General features: G+C 38.0%; 1 protein-coding gene and 1 long non-coding RNA gene across 3 annotated transcripts in view; one reads left to right on the top strand and one right to left on the bottom strand.

Annotated features, from left to right (window-relative positions):
* The window catches only part of LOC112268208 (uncharacterized), a 53,523-nt gene extending 40,438 nt beyond the window's left edge, over positions 1-13,085 (top strand). The window contains exon 3 of the long non-coding RNA XR_002958196.2: positions 11,985-13,085. This is a non-coding gene — a long non-coding RNA (uncharacterized LOC112268208). The remainder of the gene's footprint in view (positions 1-11,984) is intronic.
* The window catches only part of KLHL14 (kelch like family member 14), a 100,351-nt gene that overhangs the window by 52,694 nt on the left and 25,650 nt on the right, over positions 1-22,007 (bottom strand). Inside the window, exons 3-4 of one of the 2 annotated variants that reach the window (XM_047437684.1) lie at positions 16,562-16,683; positions 13,082-14,018 (exon numbers count right to left, since the gene is read on the bottom strand). In XM_047437684.1, the coding sequence (XP_047293640.1) occupies positions 13,984-14,018; positions 16,562-16,683 (157 nt within the window). In that variant the 3' untranslated portion in view covers positions 13,082-13,983. Of the gene's footprint in view, positions 1-13,081; positions 14,019-16,561; positions 16,684-22,007 lie in introns of those variants that run through there. The other variant, NM_020805.3, reaches the window with a different exon arrangement.

The following is a 22,007-nucleotide window of genomic DNA, read 5'->3' on the forward strand; positions in this document are numbered from 1 at the left end:
GAGTAATCAAATAGGCTCATTTTATGTAACAGATATTTGCAGTTCAAAGAGAGTTTTAAGCAGAAAAATCTCATTACACACATTTAAGAGCTGGACATATCTTTGAAAGGCTGTTGTTGTCTCATTACAACCAGCAGATGCTCCACTGGAGGAACCCGTGGCTAATGAGCCAATGTCTGGTCCCCTTTGGTGCTTGCCCATGGCCCTGGCACAGCACGAGAGTTAATTCCCTGATTCAGTATTGTCCAGTGTCTGCGGAATGTGTCCTGTGAGCTAGGCATGGGGGAGCTGTCAGTCATGGAGGTAGACATAATATCTGCCCTCATGTTGCTGACAGAGAAAGTGTTTCTTTTATATTCAGAATAGCATCTGCCTCTCAAGTTAAAGATGAAGGTCACAAAATATCCCCTGAGAGTCAGTACAGCTTGTGACTTAAGGTGTGATTTCTGGAGTTAGACTATCTGAGTTTAATTCTTGGCTTTGCTTCTTAGTCATGGTGTCATACAACTTGTTTTACCTCTTTATGCCTTGGTTTCCTCCTCTATGAAATGGAAGTTCTGGCAGAACTTGCATCATACAGTTGATGTGAGGATTAAATGAATTAATACATGTAAGTGGCTCAGTCAGTCTAATAAATAAGAGTTACTACTATCAGTATTGTCTCATTACCAAGTGGTGTGATTTGTGAGTGAAGTAGTCATGACCTTAGATTATAGTGCAAGGGTTAGCAAATACGGCCTGTTGGCCAAATCCAGCCCTCTGCCTATTTTTATAAATAAAGTCATACTGGAACACAGCCATGCTTATTTACTTAGGTATAGTTTATGGCTACTTTTGTGCTATAATGGGAGAGCTGAGTAGTTGTGACAGAGACCTTACGGCCACAAAGCCCAAAATATTTACTACCTAGCCCTTCACAGAAAAAGTTTGAGGACTGACCCCTGGATAGACAACTACTATTAACATATTTTTCTTGGCCGGGTGCAGCGGCTCACACCTGTAATCCCAGCACTTTGGGAGGCAGAGGTGGGCGGATCACTTAAGGCCAGGAGTTCAAGACCAGCCTGGCCAACATGTTGAAACCCCGTCTCTACTAAAAATACAAAAATTAGCCAGGCGTGGTCGTGGGCGCCTGTAATCCCAGCTACTTGGGAGGCTGAGGTAGGAGAATCACTTGAACCCGGGAGGCAGAGGTTGCAGTGAGCCAAGATCGTGCCACTGCACTCCAGCCAGGGTGACAGAGCAAGACTGTCTCAAGATAAATAAATAAATAAATAAAAATAAAATAAAATAAAATAAAATATTTTTCTCAAAAGAAAAAATTGGCATAGCAATTATTTATTCTGGGAAATATTTTTATATTAATGCTTCTGCATTCTTTCAAGGGACATATTACACACTGCAGATAACTGCAACCGAGAAGACCTCAGATGGGGCTGCCATGTGCTCTCTTCACCCTCATCAATTCTGCTTAAAGAAGCATCATGCATGAGGATGATGCTACTAACCCACTTTCAGCAGAATAAACATCCTGTTATTTTCCAGTAGTGTTCCTGGATTTGCATTGTTCCATCCTCTCTTTCAATGGACTTCCGTTATCCACAGTCACATATGCTTGAGGGGCAAGCTGGTTGGGGTGCAGCCTTTGGAGAAAGAATTTCCCTATATGGGAAGGCAGCTGAGCTATAAAGGGGAGTGAACTCCCAACCTTAGCTTTATGCAGCCCGCAATAGAATCAGGTGTTGGCTACTATATTTGTGAATGACTAAATTTTATTTGGTAAAAGGAACAAAAGCTGCTTCTTAAAAAGGTATGTATTTTATACTTCTGGTCTTTTTTAAACAAAGTATGGGAAACTTAACAATTTTTCAATGGTCAAGAAAGGTTACTCTGCCTAGCAAAAGTACTCAGTAGTGCCTGCCTCCTGGTTTTACACTGTATCCATATCTATTCAGGCTTTTCAGTTTAGGGCTGAAATCAGATGGAGTAAGACATAGAAGATGAAGCCCCAGTGCTGAGATTAGCAAATGAACTGGGCATTAAAGATACATTTAAATTATGAGAACCATCATGGATTGTCTTTGGAATTACATCTGGAAACTTATTTACATGTATTTGTGACAAAAACAATATAGCATATTGAATCTTTGCAAATTTAATGATAGATTGAAACCAAACAACCATTACACATCCCCTTATCTGCACATATGTCCTTTCATTATTGTTGAAGTAAGGGAAATGACTTGGGTTTTGACAAGAATAAGGACAAAAAAAGGATACTTTATCATTTTTTAAAATGAAAGCTCTAAAGTGGAAGGAGTAATTTAATCCCATGAAATGTTTATGTACACACAAGAGCAGCTACTGATATTTGATAAAGTTAATGATTATGGTAATGAAAAGCTTCAAACAAATTTATGAATGAACACAAAACAAAGATCTGAGATTTACCAGTATGACATGGACAGAGGAGTACCCCCATGTCATTAGTACTCAGAGAACCAAGAGCACAAATACACAGTTTTTCTCTCTTTAGAAAGTTACGTCTTGGCACACAGCCCTTACCATTGTGATTTTTGCAAGTGAGGAAGTTATACACAGAAAGCAGCGGTAGAAGCTGCAACTCCCCTGGAAGTGATCGCCTCATTCTGAAATTTTCACCTAGAAAATAATCCAATATTATATTCTTTCTTCAATCTTCAATTAATAACAAAGAGGATGGTAGAAGGTTCAACAAATATGCATGCATATTTAGGATGCTGGTATATTCTATTTGTGCAGAGGATGTTCAATTTGATTCTGCATAAAATGCTGAAGTAGCCTGTCTCGTCTTGCTTCACCTTTGACTCCTTTTACAACATGCACTCTGTTGTTAACTACAGTAATGAGAAATAGCAAAGACTGCAGGCTCTGAAGCTTTATTCGGGTACACATTTTGGCTCTGCCATTTACCATCTGTGTGACCTTGAGCAAATTACTTAATGTCTCTGTGCCTCCATTTCTGCATCTTAAGTAGAAAAATAATAGTGCCTACCATGGTCGAGGGCTGATGTCTGAATTAAATTAACAAATGCAAGTGAAGTGCTTAGAATTTTGTTATATCTTTTTCTTATGTGTGTCATTCTCTAGGTGTAATGAGTTGAATTGTGTCTCCATGAAAAGTTATGTCAAGTCCTTACTCCCAGTACCTGTGAACATGATATTATTTGGAAAGAGTCTTTGCAGATAAAATCATTAAGATGAGGTCATACTGGATTAGGGTAGGCCCTAACACCAATGCTTTTGTCTTGTTGTAATGGTAAGGATGTATTTTTGCCTGGTCAAAAAAAGGATGCATTTTTGCCCATCATCCTTACCATTACAGCAAGACAAAAGCATTAAAGTCTTTATAAGAGAAAGGAGAGGAAGATTTAGACACAGAGATACAGAGGAGTGACACGGGGAAGAAACCCATGTGAAGACAGAGACAGAGATTGAAGTGATGAAGCTGTCATCAAGAAACACCAAGGAGGGCTGGAAGCCACGAGAAGTTAGGAAGGAGGAAGGAAGTCTTCTCCCCTAGAGTCTTTGGAGGGAGCACGGCCCTGCTGACACCTTCATTTCGGCTAGTTTGCAGAACTGTGAGAGAATGAATTTCCATTGTTTTAAGCCACCCAATATGTGGTCCTTTGTTATGGCAGCCCTGGGAAACGAATACTACAGGTAACCTAAATTAAAAAGTTGGGGTTTGTGGAAGGAGAAAATGAGAAGCCAAAAGATGAAATCTCAGTACCTAGAATGAGGCTCACACGTGGTTCATTGGGTGTCCTTTGACTTTCCTTATTTCGTGGGGGTCACCTATTTGTTTCCTTGCCTGTAGGGAGATGGGGAGGGTGAGGATGGCAGGCAGTGCCTCTGTGGGAATGTGAACTCTCTACTACCTAGAGCTGTGCTGTTCATACAGAAGCCACTTGCCACAGGGGGTTACTTAAATAAAAATAAAATTAGAAATTGAGTTTCTCAGTTATACGAGCCATATTTAACACATACAATAGTCACATGGGGCTAGTGACTTCCATGTTAGACTGCAAAGATACAGGACATTTCCATCACTGTGTACGTAAAGTGCTATTAGCCTGTGCTAGATGATATTTACATTGTAATAGGATTTGTTTAGGAGACAAGGAAAGTAAGCAGACAGGTTGGGTAGAAAATAGAAATATGTCATTGTCATAATATCATTGGTTTTAGGACCCACCCTAATCCAATATGATTCATCTTAACTTGATTTTGTCTGCAAAAAAGCCTATTTCTAAATAAGGCCACAAAATAGAAATATGTCATTGTCATAATATCATTGGTTTTAGGATCCACCCTAATCCAATATGATTCATCTTGACTTGATTTTGTCTGCAAATAAACTTTTTCTAAATAAGGTCACATTCATAGGTACTGGGAGTAGGACTTATATCTTTTCATGGGGACACAATTCAACTCACTACACCTAGAAAATGCCAATAAATAGAACTAGAAATAGAAAAATCTGTATTACAAGGTGCTATGTTCTTGTAATACAGACAAGCAACTCCATAATTCATTAAGGAAAAAGGAAGAGAGAATATGGTAGAATTGATACTTCAACAGCTGCATACGAGGCAGGTCTCACTTGTTGAATGGTCTATTGTTTTCATCTTAAAGTCATGTATATCACTGCTTTTTTGTAGTTTGAACAAAAGGTATTTACTATATTCAATTCTTTTAGACTAAAAATCAGTACAGCCAGAAACTGGCTTATATCTAATGACAGAGATCAGCATGGAGAAGTATAGCCTGCTTCACCTTGATCTGCTGGAGATAGACCTCATAGAGAAATGGTTAACGTTTTGATCCCTTAACTCTGTGAAGGAGGTAAATGCTGCAAAGCAACAAATGAGATCAAGAAATCCGTGAGCTATGATCTCTCTCCTCCTCTTCAGATCTAATCATACAGATGAATAAATTGCTATGAAAATACCAAAAATAAAACTAAAAACAATGACTGAACCATTAAAACAAAAATCTCATGTACTCTGTGTTCAGGTAGGAAGAAATTTAATTCCAGTCAGACCAGTTTCCTGTGATTTTTTCCCCTTTCATCTAAGATATTTTTAATGCTCAGAGGCATTATAATAGAAAAGCATGTATTTTTGTCTGGTTTATACCCATCATCCTTACCATTACAACAAGACAAAAGCATTAAAGTAAAATTAATCATGTCAAAAGATTTTAGCAAAAACAAGTGAGACCATGCATAAAGCATCGCTTTGTCTAGTGTGAAGTCACGCTCTGATTAAAAACATATAATGAAAGTGAAAGTGATACATCATTGCCTTAGCAGTAGGGTTTTCTGAAAGTGCTTTGCGGTTCTCAACATAAAAATGTGGGAACATTATGGTCTTCGAAACTCACAAAGGTTATTGTTCTAGCTAAATAACTAGAATTCAATCTCAATGTTTTAAAAAAATAAATTAAGACTTAATGACCAAACAAGGCAGGTCGGTAGGATTAATAATTAGAACACGCTGTGAGAAGCGGTCGTCTGCCTTGACAACCAGACACAGAGGTATGAAAGTGTCTGCTCAGCACTCCCCTTTCACAAAACCATCCTTAATCCCAGCTAAATGTGGCCAGGTCCTTAAGGTATCAGCACAGCTCCTTGCTCCATCGGAAACACTTAATGAATAGAAAGGTTTGACTGTAGAGTAATCATACACTCCCCAGCAATGGAGTCAATTTATGTATGATCCACAAAACCAAAAATTCTAAGTGGCTGGCTATTCCTAAAATGTAGGTTTAGTTAATGATGTCACCATAGAGTCATCTCATGGATTTGAAAAGAAACAGTTTACTTATTTGTACTTTGCCTTCATTACGTCTTTATTTTGATGGGGATATGTGTACATAATAATTGCTCTCCAAAATTATCTTTCTATTTGTTTTGTTGTTGTTGTCATGTTGAGAGTCATTTAGGGCTACTGTCCTTAGCATACTAATGCAGGAGCAGAAAACCAAATACTGCATGTTCTCTCTTATAAGTGGGAGCTAAATGATAAAAACTTATGAACTCAAGGAAGGAAACAACAGAGACTGGGGTCTACTTGAGGGGGAGGGTGGGAGGAGGGAGAGGAGCAGAAAAGATAGCTATTGGGTACTGAGCTTAATACCTGAGTGATGTAATAATATGTACTGTGACATGTATTTATATATGTAACAAACCTTCACATGTACCCCCAAAGCTAAAATAAGAGTTGAAAAAGAAGTCGTTTCAGCTGTTTTTTTAAATGAGGTCTCTCTAAATGTTGAAAACCATCCTGTTCTATGAGATCTACGTGTATATATCTATATAAATAATTTATATATATACATATTTGCATAACTATATTTTAGATGTATAATAGTTTACATACAATAAATACTAGAAACAAGGACAATTGTATAAACTCAGACATATTAAAAATATCTGAGGGAAATCAGACTTTTAAAAATTCACTCCAAATGCATTATAATAATATTTAGAGTGTTTTTCTAAACCTCCTTTTAATATAAATGGTTTTGGCTGAGCGCGGTGGCTTACACCTGTAATCCCAGCACTTTGGGAGGCCGAGGCGGGTGGATCACCTGAGGTCAGGAGTTCAAGACCAGCTTGGCCAACATGGCAAAACCCCAACAACGCCACTAAAAATACAAAAATTAGCCGGGCGTGGTGGCACATGCCTGTAGTCCCAGCTACTCAGGAGGCTGAGGCAGGAGAACTGCTTGAACCCGGGAGGTGGAGGTTGCAGTGAGTTGAGATTGTGCCACTGCATTCCTGCCTGAGAGACAGAGCAAGACTCCATTTCAAAAAAATAAAAAGAAAAAAGAAATGGTTTTATATCCTGGTAATGAATATCATTCCTGACAATACAGTCCTATGTAGGAAGTGATAGAAAGATACATAGAACAATTGTATTCTGACTAATAACTTCCCCTCACAGGAGAAGTGAGAATATCTTGCATGTGACAAGAAGAGTGAAACAAGTATTTGGGAACATAAGGGTGCACTGTTGTAAACATTAGGGGCTAGTAAATATTTTGATTATCCACCTTCTGAGATCTTGGGAGGATTGCACTTTTCCAGCCACTTTGAAATTAGATGTGGCTGAGCAATTTGTTTTTGCTGATACGCCATGTTATTCAGGGCAGAAATTTCAAGAGTCAGTGTGACATTTCCTCTTCTCTGCCATGAAAATGGTGACATGTCAAATAGTGGAGTCTATCAACCTGAGGACTAGAATGAGAAGATGTGGAACAGGCTCCCAGTTAACCTGCCATAGACATGTGACATGAAAAGAAATAACTATTTACTTACATAAACCACTAAGATTTGGGATTGTTGTCACCGCCTAACCCGACTGATACAGGTGCTGGTACCAAGAAGGTCCAGTGGCTGATAAGGAAACTGAGATAGAAGAGTAGAAAGACAGAAATGGATATCATGGTGAGAAAAATCACTGGGTACAACTGTTATTTGCTCTTACTTGGAAGGCTAATCAGTTATTTAATGAACTTCCACCTCCAAGGGAAGAGGTTGAAAACAGAATGCTGATTGTATGTGTTGGTTGCTGTTGGCTGGACTTGGCAAGATTTACAAAAAAGAGATGATCTCAGAAAAAGCTGGCCCATTTATGAGCAGTATTGAAAGGAAACAGAGTCCAGAAATCTAGGGTGTGTAGCCTTGGAAGACTGATGTTTTTCAATTTCATCTGGTAAGGTAAGTTAAAACTCAGCTTAGTGGAGAGAAAAAATTAAAGGTGTGACTTTCACAGTACTTTCACTGAGTTGGGATGTTTTAGAAGAAAGTTCCAATTAAGGCTGAGACAACCACCAGTAAATTCTAAAAATTCAGAGAAAAGAGTAAAAAGGAAACTTTCCCACTGAAGTCTTATAGACACAGAAATATAAAGAATATTAGATGGTGGTGGTGTGTGTGTGTGAGAGAGACAGAGAGAGAGAAAGAGAGAGAAAGGAGAGAGAGAGAGAGAGAGAGAGAAGGACACAAGAAGACAAAGGAAAAAGCAATCTGAGAAGTTTATCAGAAAAGAAATGTAGCATGGTCACCGGCCTTGGAGTAGCTGGAAACATAAGAAAACAGCAAAGTTTTCTTGAGAGTTAATTGCTGAAAGAACTGCTAGCCTTGAGTAAAAGAAGCTGTTGACAATTTTATACCTAAAACCACTATGGTCCTCTAAGTGTTTATAGACATGGAATGTACTTAGAAAACTCTTCCGCTCCCAGGAAGAGCATATTCATCAGGGTCACTTCAGACATGGCCAATGAAGATAACAGGAAAAGAAGGATCTCCCACAGGGAGAAGCAGGGGGCATGGGAAAACAAAAAAAATAATGAACAGAATTGGGCAGAACCCTAATCAAGGAACACAACCCACCTCTTGGATAGGTGCCCTTCATAATGTCTATTTGGTAGAATTGCTAAATTGCTACGGTCTTTCCAAATGAACGTGTTTACTGGGGTGATCCTGTCCCTATTCCATCACGGTGCATTATGTGTGAGGGACCAGATAATTTCTCTTTAGTTTATTCATTCCGGGTCAAGAGGAGTCTCAAATCAGCTTGATGTTGGGATGACTATTCTTCTCACCCAGAGGTCCTCCACAATGAGCTTGATGATTTTGGGTAATCTCCCCTTGGAGGAGAGGTGAGAGCGCTTTGAGCACAGCAGAAGAATACACTGAATATTTGATGTCTAGTAGTATAATTATGATAGTCACATTGTGTTGTTTGAAAATTCTCTGGTTTTCCTCCTTCTGAACTCTGGTGAGCTTGCACTTTCCTGCTTCCCTGAAATGGGGTGTGGTCCTGTGACTGAGAAGAAATGATATATGTCACTTTTAATCACCAGTGCAAGACACTGCAGCTCTTTCTTCTCCCTGCTGCATCCATGATGGAGATGCATGTCAAGATGGAGCCCCCACATGCCTGGATCCCTGAATGACTCTGTGGAGCAGATGCCCTCTATCAACCTGTGTTGGACATGTAGAATAAGCAAGAAATCATTTTCTCTTGTCAGTTTAAGCTCCTGAGACTTTTGGAGTTATTACCGCAGCATAATCTAGCTCATCCTGACTGATACACATAAACTTCATGCTAGACATAGAGATTTCATTCTGAATCAAAGTGTGTCTTCTTTCTCAAACTTTAGATGAGCAGAAGATAAGATTCAATATTTTGGTTTTCTTTATTTTGTTAAAAAATAATGCAAAGTTAGCAAAAATAGAATAAAAATGTATTGAGGAACAACTCTATTCCAGATCCTGAGCCTGGACATTTATGTGTATTATTTTATCTAATTCTCACAATAACCCTGTGAGGTGAGTACAATTATCTTTAATTTGCAGATAAGATTAAAAGATCAGAGAGTAAGCAGTTTCCCAGAGTCACACGGTCAACACACATCTTGTGTGTATTTCAATTCAGGTCTATCTGTCTCTAAAGATGTTACTCTGTGTGTGTGTGTGTGTGCGTGCACGCGCACACATGCTCTTTGATGCTATGTTGCTTCCAAGACACAGTTAAAATGTCAAAAAGTTGCATTGAATTGTGGCCTGTCCATAATCTTAAATGCAAATTTTGTCACTTACACGTCATAATTTGCAATTTAGTCCATAAACCAAGATTATATTATTGACCTCTAAGAGTAGGTTATTATTTCAATTAGCCTATTCTAGCTCTATTCTATGAACATGGTACTACCTCAAGTACATTGGATCCGTTTAGATTTTCGTGGGTGAAATGGGTCAGCACAGATTAAATTCCATTCATCTGCTTGGACTTTTTGACTAACGGCATCTTTTGGTGAGATGAATTGGTGTGGGATCTGGAGCAGCACAGTTAGATGGAACTACAGATACCAGTGTTCTATTCCTTACCCTGCCATTAAATCACTGTGTGACCCTAGGTATATAGCACCTCCTCTCTTTGCATAACTTAAAGTAAAAGCCAAAATGAAAAAATTGTGAGCCTGCCATTGAAGTTCCTGTATGGCCTGGTCTCTGCCAGTGTCTTTAGCCACATCTCCTATCTGTTTCCCCCTCACTCTTTGAGTTCAGCCACGCACCTTCTTTTTGCAGCATCTTTGCCTTTACTGTTAACTAACCTGGAGCAATCTTATCTCACATCTTCACCTGGGCACTGCCTAACTCCTTCTTATCCTTCAGTTGTCAGTGCAAATGCCATTTCTTTAGTAATATTCCCCATGACTCCTTGATTAGATCAGGACTCTCCACTGCCAGATCTTATATATTTTATACCCTTCTCTCAGAGCACTATCACATTTTCTTATTATATATTGCTACCTGGGATTATTTATTAATGCTGGTTTCCCTCTCTAAACTATTAACATGGTGATATTTGTTTTGGCTCAGCGTGGTATCCTCTGTGCTTAGCACAATCTCTGTTACATAGAAGATACCAATTATATTTGTTAAATGAATGAAATGAGTGTGTAAAATGAGAGGGTTGGGCATTGAGATCATTTATTCTTTCAGTACTTACATTCAATGATTTGCCAGACTTAGTCTGTAATTTGCCCAGGAATGACACACAGCAAATTTAAACAGCCCGCATGACTCATACCTCCTTCATTTCAGATTCAGTAGCACATACCACAGCTTATGTCTAAAGAAGGTATCAGAATTATTTGTACACATGCTGTTCTCTGGAGAAAAAACAATTGCTATATTCAAGAGAGGTATAAGCCAGAAATAAATGAGAGATGGCCAAAGAAGGTCAACCAGTTTTTCTAGGTACCCAGCTTCCTTGAAATACAGTATTTGGAGTGACCACCACACATATTTTCTTAAAAATCTATGAAAAATCCACTAATGCACTGGTGCATGAATACACAGTAGCAAATAATTCAAGATATATAGCAATGTGCAGCCATGTATCTCAAATTAGAATTGAGCTCATTGAAGGTAAAATTAGATGCTAACATATTTAAAAAGTCCAAACACAATTGTCTCTCCTTCTTTGTCCAAAGCCATGGAAACGATTGCTCCATGCTCTGAAACAAAAAATTCCAAGCTAAGAGAGATCAACTGCTATGATATTGTATATAATATTTAGATCCCTGTTTTTTTCAGTAACCCTGAAAACAAAAAATAGAGGGGTATCCCTACTTGCAATTCTTAATTCTTGAACCTGTCTTGATAATTCCTTGAAATAGTCTCCATGTGATATGGTTCTTGGTTAATTCTGCAGCCCCATTGCTTACTAGTCCAACTTCAGATTTTCCTATAGATACACAAATTTATTTCAGTTGCCAAAAGACACTATACTCCCTCTTGTCTTTTGGCATTCTCAATACTGGGTGGTCTTACTAAAATACTTTTCCATCTACCTTTTGCCTAGGTAATTCCTACCCATTTTTTCAGAGTTACAGATGGTCACTTCTAGGAAAGCTTTCCTAACCTCTCATGTTAACTTTAGGGGCTCATTTTTGTGTTCCCATAGCACCCTAGAATTTCTGTATGTATCTCTTAGCACCCTGTATTATAATTACTTCCTTAGGTTATTGAGAGGAGAGATTATCTTATGCATGTTCTATCCTACCATCCAACACAGAGTGGGTATTCAATAATTGCTTATTACATAAAGGAATGAGGTCTATAAATAAGTCTAAATTCTTCCTAGGCATTTTCAGAGTCGTTCAAAAGTACCTCATTGTTTTCTGAAGTTCTCCTGCAATGAGAAACACACTATCTATGAACCCTACCTACCTGTCTAGAAATAACATTAAATTAAATGGTTTGTGGGTTTTAGTTCTTGGTAATAAAGGTAATATGAATAAAGGAAACCCACAGGTACAAAGCCCTTAATTTAACTTACATTTTATTTTCTTCAAAACAAATAATGATAAATGATTATTAGGTTTTGACTAATTTTACTTTCCTCCCTTTATATCCTTAGGGAACAGAAATGAACTGAAATCAAGAAACAGAAGGGCCAAGGAAAGAAGTCCATTTGAATGTATCAACATGCAGGTTTATTAATTATTCCCTGAATAATCAACAACTAAACCATTCTGCATTGCTTGGCTATTGAATATGATCAAACCTATATTTATCATTTGGAACTGAAGTTCAATGTCTTATACAAGCTTTGTTTGCTCATGACTATTCCGTCACCATTTATAGAAAGTATAGTTTTTCAAAAGTGTGAAGAATCCACCAGCTTTCTGATCTTTGTGACTCCTCTTAAAGAAATAAATAACAACCAGACACAGGACCCCTCCTATCTGGATGGGATCAAGTTAAATGTCATCCGTGGGTCAGAGGAGACAACCTAGGAAACCACCACCCAACAGTTTCCTTTATTTTCCATGACTGAACACTAGAAAATTCCCAAATCCTTCCACTACAAAGAGAAAAGAGTTGTAAATCAACAGAACGGAAGAGAAACAAAAAGGCATTTCCTCTATCTTTAACAAAGGGAACTTAGAGTTATCAAGAGAAGGAACACGACTTTCTACTTAGCTCCATAATTTTCATTCTAATGTTATTAAAAAGAAGTCATCATTGGTACATGGAAGGATAAATCTATATTTTAAAGTCCCTCTTTTCTGTTGTTGGTCACAAAAGGCAACAAAGAAGCATCTAATAAATAGAATCTCTTATTTGAAACATTGGAAAAAGGATGCCAGCTCCTGGAAAATACCTTGCCCATCAGTAAAGAAATCGGTCCACAGGGAATAAAAATGGAATGGAGAGCTCTCCAATGCTGCCCTATGGGGAGAAATAAAAGGGGTCTCCACATGTGGACTTCATAAAAACTTTGATATAAAAGAAATCTATTATCAAAAGTACACGGTAACCCCAGCAAGTGTTCTGTTTAATCTTTGCACAGAGGATTTAGGGCCTGCAAAGTGCAAGAGGCATGATGCATTGGCCATTTTAGTATTCATGTCTCCTGTACTGCTTTCTAATAAGTTAAGATGAAACGGGAGACTGCGTGCAGGAGTGAGAGATGCAAGAAAAGCAGTACTGAGAAATAAAGATGAACAAAAGTGCATCTTGACTTCCCTTTTATTATTAACAGGCGAGAGAACAACAATGCCAAACTTATAATGTTATTACTTAACACTTCACATTTACAAAAAGACGTTGCAGTCATTTTTACATGTTATTTCTCAATATTTTTCTGATAGAGGCTTTTCTTATAATCAGTTTTTATGATGATATATGAAATGATTTTTCCAAAAAGGAAGATAAACATGCAGTCTGTGCCAGCATGTTACCAAAACAATCTTTTTGGTGAGAATAATTGTTTCCTTTACTGTTTGGGTAGGACAAACAACTGGTTGGCCGACTATTTGAATGTTGTTTTCTTCGTGTTATATAGACCCACTTTTTCACTCCTACTCCCCTCCACTCCATTCAACTCACTATTACTTAAGTGTACCCCTTACATCGTATTTCTGAAATATAAATAACATAATAGGATAAGATCTAAAGAAAACTAGCCTTCCTCTTAATTCTTCTGTGATATAAGGTGTGTAAATGGAGTGGCACCCATGAGTGAGTATCTGTGCACCTGCCTGTAGGCTGGCCTCTTTCTAAGAGGAGCATGTCTGTGAGGCACACTGAGAAATGTTTGCTCAACATAAGTGGGCAAAGTATGCTGAGATTCAGAAACTCCATCTACCTCATGTTTTAGGTGTCTGCTAGTTAGTTTGCATGGAGAAAGTCATTCAATAAATAAGTAGACCCCAAACCAGGGGACTGTCTCCTACCTTTAACTGTCATCCTCACCTCCATGACAAACTAGTTTGGTATTTCTTCTGGGGCAAAAGAATGGCAGTGGAAAGTTCTCCAATCCCTTAGGCTTTATTAGATTTGGGAAGAATCTGGGATTCTGATGAGAAAGATTTCTTCATTTATTATTAGATGGCCCAAAGCATAGCAATCTGTCAGTTGCCTCTTTCTGTTTTGCAGAATAAGGTATCTTAACAAAAAAAAAAAACCAAGCAGAAATTATCTAGGTAAACTTTCTACATTTCTTCAACAAATGTAAAAAATATGCCTTTACTTGGGGCCATATAGTCATAGTCTAGCAGGTAATAAACTATATATTTTTAAGTACAAGTTCCAGTGAAATGAACATTGTTAAGTAGAGTAAACATTTATTTCAAAGCCATAAGTATGTCTGAGTATTGAAAAAGGGTTCAAGATCTTTAAATATGTTCCCATTATAAGAACTTTGCACACACACACACACACACACACACACACATTTATTTCCTTCAACTTCAAATCTAATAAATAGAGTCAATAGATAGATACCCTTTTCTCTTTACTTCTTAATCTATAGATTATTAAATCTAACATGTGAAAACTATGGAGAATATGCTCCCTACTCTCGGGCAGTGGATTGAAGTGGTATGTCTGTTGCAGTGTTACTTGTCTGCATGGAGAGCTTGCATTGATTGACTGATGCCTCTAGGTGTAAAGGTACAGTCCTTATGCTAATGTTGATAGTGATGTTACAGTAATAGCAATAGTACCTGCAACTTTTTGAGTGCATTCTATGTGCTAGATGATTTATAAACACAATTTTTATTTTAAAAATACTACAGTGACTTTCACAAAATTAAGAAACCATGACTCCAAATATTTATATGATTTTCTCAAGGTCCTGGATCTGGGTTTGCAACCAAGTCTGTCTGATTCAAAGTTCATGTTTTCTTCCTACATCCCTCCAAGCAGAGCGTTAATTCAGGCAATGTGAAAACTTGAAGTAAGGTGACCATATGTTCCAGTCTATACCTGTTGTCCTGGCATAATTAATAGATTCCCCTTTCATGCTTGAAAATGCCCCAGTGTGGACAATGTTTAACAATCAACCTATCTTTGAGCAAGGTTTAAAATCCACATAAGACTTTTCTAAGGTATTGTTCACAATGCTTTAATTCATCTTTTTGTCTTTACTGAAGGGTGTCAAACAAGTAACAAATTGGACCTAGCTTTTTGTATTTGGGAAAACAAATGGATTTATGAATGAATATCATTTACTGGTTGGGTGTATTATCACTCTGTCATTTCTCTTTGAGAATCTTTTGTCCTTCCTCTTTTCTCTCTCCTCCTCCTAGTCTCCATGTTTCTTTCTATCCAGGCTTTCACTATTGGTCAAGTATTAAAAAATAAATTCCTTGGTTTTGCTTTAGCTTTTGTTTCTGACAAACCTTTAAAATTCAGCTTGGCCACTCACTCCGATGTTTAAACCACTACTAATGGTATTTTTGTCAAAAGAGAAATAAAAATCATTTTAAGACATCACTAACTTATTTTTCTTTCTTTCTTCTCCTTAATCTTGCTGCTACTATTCTACTACTTCTTTACTACAACCGTAGCGCATTGGTGTCCAGGGAGCTTTCTTGTTGCAGTTCCTGGACAATGCTACTGCAGGTTTCACTGGGGGATGCCAGCTCCAAAATGTATTATTTCAAGCACCACCACACATGTCTCTGCTCCTCTACTGCTTTTATGGGTAAACTGTTGTCCAGTTTCTATTATTTTAAAGGGCTTTCAGGAAGAGGGAAGGAAACGATTTTTGAAAAATAAACATGGTAAAATATATAACTGTTAAGACACATGCAATAAGAAAATCTAACATTCACTTTTGTTGGTTTTAAATGTATGGCTTTGATTTATGGATTAAAATTGCTCATTTATTATTTTATCTATACAGCTCTGGGCAATTTTGACAGTTAAAATTTAGTTTTATTGACCAGTGCAGCCACTGTGCCCACGAGGGGACTGGTGCACACAGCCTGCTGCACTCAAGAAACGATGATTTTTGATTCCATGAGTGAGTCCGATTGGGAATCATAACCGATATAACAATAAGTTCCAAATCTCAGTGCCCAAGGCAAGAGGTTTGCTGTAAAACACAATCGCCCTTTAGGAAGGGGAGGAGAAGAATCCTGGGTAGAAGTTTGCAAGCACAATTTCATGCAGCTGGAATAGGCCACAAATATATCTGTCCATTCAAACTATGCAGCAGTATAAGGGGACATTTCTCTAAAGACCCAGTTCCACAGACTAAATATTAATGAGCAAAAATGCCTAAAAAGCAACATGAATGTTAGTTACAGAGACAGTGAACTAAACAACCATTTTGATGTGAGAAAATTTACTAGCGAACGCCATAAACCAACCTTTTGCTTTTCAATGAACAACAACAAAAAGAACAGAAGAATTTTGGGGGGAAGATCTTTGCTCCTCCCCCACACCCTCCATTGCAGCACATACAGAAACGTAAACCAGTACAGTGATTTTAGGCTAGGCCTACTCGACTACCAAATTGGCCACCTCTGCAATGTTAATTTAGTTTTTTACTCTAAATCCCCGGTGATACATAAACAAACCTCCAAAGGGGAACAAATCAATAAAATGTCTAATTTGATTAACCATGTTTTCAAATTCATCAAGACAGCGCTAACCTGAAATAAATAGGTGAGTGAATAAATAAATAAATAATGCACTCACTTGTGAGTATTTTCCATGTCTTCTTTTCATCGTCGTAATACTGAACCAAATTGCTGGGGAGCCGGTCCGGTCCAGGAGGCAGCCCTCCAACCAATAACAGCATTTTCTTGTTAGAGCGAATTCTTCACCCAAAACAAAAGAGGAGATGAATAACCACATTACTGTAGAGTCTTTTTAGTGGCAACGAAATCATAACCATCAAAGAATGTTCCTTGCTTGCAGATATCTGTTTCATTTTTTCCTGTTTCTTCCCCCATTCATGTCTCAACAATTTTTTTGAACCAAGCAGAAAAATGATCAGAAGAGCTGCACATCCCCATACTCATAGAATAATAAGCTCCCTTTATGCAATTTGTTAGAGGTTCATTCTAGAACGACCTTTTTCTTATATTATCCCTTTAAATCATCACTCTTTACAGCTGAGTACACATGAAATGCTCTGGAGTTGTACTAAGGTTAAGCATTAAAGTTGCATGTCAAAAATCGTATTAGTCAAAATCATTATTATAAGCCATTCTCCACTCAAAGAACCTTGAAAAAATTAAGGTTATGCAGGGAGTTTGTGAGCCAACTCTTTAATCACCCAGGGAACTTCAAATACGAGTTTGGTACAATTAGTAGCACAGGGCTAACTGGGGTGGGTTAACCAGTTTGAACATGAATTTTTTTGTTTGTTTAATTTAGCTTAGACTTCTGCCTTCTTCCCCTTCCCCCACTCCCAGCTCACCCTCCCCTCTGCTCTCCCCCTGTGCACCACTGGCGATATAGCAGCACCAATTGGTAAAAATGAGACTGTGATGTTGTTGTGAGCCTCCCCAGAGTGGAGCCCTGCCAATGCTTGCCACTGATCCAGCGGCATGAACCTGCTCAACTGTGCAAAGTCACTCTAATTCCCTCCCTCTGTTTTTCTACCTTCTCCCCCAGGGGGCAACCACTGAAAGGAGTGACTACCCACCCATCAAGAGCTGGCAATTCGCTGCTATTAACCGTGACTGTGATTCCCAGTCCGCCTGGCAGTTCCTGAGAAAGGCCTGCAATGTCTCATATGCAGTAAAAGCTGTAAGATGCACCCTGGCCAGCACACTCGACCTGATGGATGTACAATCCTCAGGAACAGTAATGGATTGAGCACACTTGCGATTGAAGCAGGGAGAGGAGGCCCAGACCCCTACAAAGGGCCTGCTGATTTAACAGTCGCTTTACATGTAATTGAACTTTTCATGTACCTGAAAGGCTCAAGGTGATGGTGGAAGAAACGGAACAACAATGATTGAAGGAAAAAAGTCAATAAATACAAAAGGATTCCTCTTAGTGATGATCACAAGCCCACGGCGTGGCTCTGAATCTATGATTACATATTCAGCTCGTTCTGATTCAAGAATGCTTGGCGAAGTATGCCCTTGTGGAGAAGCATTGTTTGTTGGTTAAGAACCTAACATTCGGAGAGTTAACTTAATACAGTTAATGACATCTCCATGTGGAAGGAAGGGAACAAGAGAATTCCTTTGATGAAACTCTGGTGCCATTGAATGCATTATTATGCCTCAGTGGGAAAAATACCTTCTGGAGAATTGTCCATAGTAGACACTCATAGATAGAGGGAGCTGTACTTACAGAGGAATGAGTAATGTGATGGCAGCTTGCAGTGTTAATTTTGCCACTCTGTGGATATAGTTGAGCCAAAAGGAAAACAAACAAACCCAAACTCTGAATTTGAAGTACCTTCAAACAGTACCCATATGCTTTATAGACTAGTAGTTGGCAAATAGAATACAACAGCAAAGAGCCCCCATACTTGGAGGATTTCAGTGATTGGGGTGTTTTTGCAAGAGGGGTTAAGAAAAATCAGTGCAGTCTGTACCTTTCTTTCACTTGGAAAACATACATACATAATTCACATGCTATATAATCTCCTAGATGCATGGCCACAGAGCTGATATATGACCATTTTTTTCTTATTGTAGTTTTTAGCCCAAATAACCACTCTGTGTGTGTAAGAGAAGTCAAGATGAAAACAAATACTCTTTTTAGGTTGCTGCAAATGACCATGTGTAGACAGACCTGTTCAACTGGAAGTCACGATTCTGTGACTGTCCTAACATCACTCGTCCACATGCCGCCAGACTGCAGTTGGGGGTAGATCAGTATCAACAGGATAGACACAGAGGAAAGAACTCATGGAAGTGGCGGTTGTGACAAAAGCAACATAATTAAATATATTTTAGTATATAAACAAATTAACTGCTTAAAACATGTATTTAATGGGGCCCGGCGTGGTGGCTCATGCCTGTAATCCCAGCACTTTGGGAGGCCAAAGCAGGTGGATCACCTGAGGTCAGAAGTTCGAGACCAGCCTGACCAACATGATGAAACCCCCGTCTCTACTAAAAATACAAAAAATTAGCCAGGTATGGTGGCAGGCACCTGTAATCCCAGCTACTTGGGAGGCTGAAACAAGAGAATCTCTTGAACCCAGGAGGCAGAGGTTGCAGTGGGCTGAGATTGTGTCATTGCACTCCAGCCTGGACAAAAAGAGCGAAACTCCATGTCAAAAAAAAAAAAAAAAATTAGCTAGGTGTGGTGGCACATGCTTGTAATCCCAGCTACTTGGGAGGCTGAGGCAGGAGAATCACTTGAACTCAGGCGGCAGAGGTTGCAGTGAGCTGAGATCACGCCATTGCATTCCAGCCTGGGCAACAAGAACAAAACTCCATCTCAAAAAAAAAATGTGTTTAATGGATGGCAAAGGGAGATGAATGCATGGCTCACACATGTTTGTAAGGTCATTTCATTCATTGATAAGAGGAACTTCCCTAGACAAGTTACACTGGTGATTCTCCACCCTGATTTAGATGGACCATCTCTGCTGATAAGGAGAGGATCTAGTGTCTTTGTTCTCTTGCCCAAATTGCCAGCCATTGCCATCTGTCCTCTAAGAAGTGGACTGACTACCAATACAAAAGCCAGTGAACAGTGGGCAAACGGTAACACCCTCCACCCCTGCCAACAGTGACATGATTCAAGGGCTAGCTAGCAAAGAGCAATGAAAGATTCCACACAACTAAGGTAAATCTCTAAGCGACTCAGGCCTCTGCAGAGACTGTAATAAAGAATTATGTGGAGGAAAAGGAAATCCTACTTACCCTCAATGGCTGTGTGTTTTCTACAAAGGGGCAGTGCTTTGAAGCCATGATGTATGGCTTTCTTAGTGAATCAAGATGCCTTCCAAATCTTTTGCATTGTTGTATTTACATCATCATTCATTCAATTTGTCATGACATTTTACTTAGAGTATTTTTTCTCTAAATCTTGTGTTATTCAGTTTTCCAAGCCAGTATCAATATTATTTAATTCTAAATAAAACTTGAAGCTCTACTTTGTGAAGATGAACCAAATTGAAACCCAAAATAGGATAAAACATGTAAGAAGTTGGATCATACAGAGGAAAGAACACATCAAGTAACAAAACACATTTGAGTGGTTTTCTCACTATTTTCTCCATTGACTCTCAAAACAGCTCAACGTGGTAGGTATAACTCTCCATTTTACAGAGAGGAGAGAAAGTTCCCATAGCTGTTATAAGAAGGTACACATTTGGACATTACAGAAAACTATGAAGATTTCTGAATCCGAATAAAGAAACCTAATAGAGATTACTTTACATTTCTTATTGCTTAAGAATAATACAAATGAGAATAACCATCACATATTTTACTTTGATATAAATGCAATGTCAACTATTCAATTACTCCTAGAAAGCAATACACGTGAATAATTCCTGTGGAAAAGCTTCCATTCTTTTTACAATGTGCAATTATAATAGTGACAATGACAATAACGACAGTTAATAATGAATGCATATTGAATACTGAACTTCTGATTATCATACTATTTATTTGATGTGTGTGAACTTCAATTTGAAAACACCACAAACAAAGATACCTGTGAACTAGAAAAGTAAAATTAAGAGAAGCTGAACTAACTGTGCTGAAGGGGGTTTTAATTATTCTTTTTCAAATAATTCCAGCAGAGCTTTACAGGTTTAATTTTAGATTAGTCAAAATTTATAAATGTAGCCTCATTGCAATCTCTAGAGCTTCTTCTCATGGCAACATAGTATACTTTTTAGAAGCTCTTAACATAGGGAACCAATTTAGCCCAAATTAATATATTCTCTTCATACCTTTTATTATTTTCAAATACTCCTTTCACTCTTCATTTTACCCATTTTACCCAACCCAGACCAAAGTACGTATTGAAAGACAAGGAATAAAAGAAATGTAAACAAAAAGCTGAGTATATCGTGGTTAATAATATTTGAATGTCTTTGATCTGAGTTCCTTGATTCTTGCATAGAAAAATGTAAGGTTGCAAAGGCGATGGAATCTGAAGGTCTCCTTTGTTCCATCTCAGTAACTGCCCAACATTTACCATGTGTCACATTTGGGCGTGTGTGCGCGCCTGTATGCGTGAGTGCTGGCGTGCATACATACTTTGGTTCCCAGGATGAATGATTGAAGGATGACCTAAACCTCCTGGTGTAAACAAATTTTTCATCATACTGGTGTTCTAAGTACTGTAAAATCTCATTTATTTATATTTCAGTGATTTGGAACTTCAATAATTGGGAAACAGGCCAGATAAAGTTTTCCTTTCCATGATACATGAGAAAAGTTTTCATGAACTAGATTGCAAAAAAACTTTTAACCTATTTAGAAATCAGCTGATATGCTGGCACTTTATAATCACCAATGCACATTTAGGCAAAATTCATTTTACAGATAACAAATATTTCTCATTTATGAAAGAAGATATTCTGCAATGTTCTAAGAATCATTAACTCATAGAGTTAGAAGAAAACTTTGAGGTAATCTAGTTCCGTAATTCCCAGGCCCTAGCAAGTTACCAGGATCAACTGAAGGCATTAGAAATTTTGGATTCTTAGTATAGATTTTCAGTTCTCGACTCTCAGAGATTATGATTCAATAGGATGAGTCTTAAAAAATCAATGCTGTTTCACAGCCTTCCAGTTGATGCTAATACACAGCCAGACTTGAGGACACTGACTTGGTCTAGTCCCCTACATAATATAGAAATCCTTCTGATAGTTTTTTAAACAAGTAATTATTATTATCTATTTGGAAATTTGAAATGAATCTTAGGTTTTCAGATACACTCTGTTGTTAAAAGTTGTTGTACAGTTGTGTTAGATATATTTTTTCCTCTTAAGCTGAGCTGAAAAACCTACCTAGGTTTTCTAGAGCAGTGGTCCTCAACCTTTTTGGTACCAGGGTCCGGTTTCATGGAAGACAGTTTTTCCATGGACCAGAGGGATGGTTTCAGGATGATTCAAATGCAGTACATTTATTGTGCACTTTATTTCTATTATTATATTTCTATTATTACATTGTAATATATAATAAAACAATTATACAACTCATCATAA

The sequence above is a fragment of the Homo sapiens genome, chromosome 18 (genome assembly GCF_000001405.40).
Source record: "Homo sapiens chromosome 18, GRCh38.p14 Primary Assembly".
Lineage (NCBI taxonomy): Eukaryota > Metazoa > Chordata > Mammalia > Primates > Hominidae > Homo > Homo sapiens.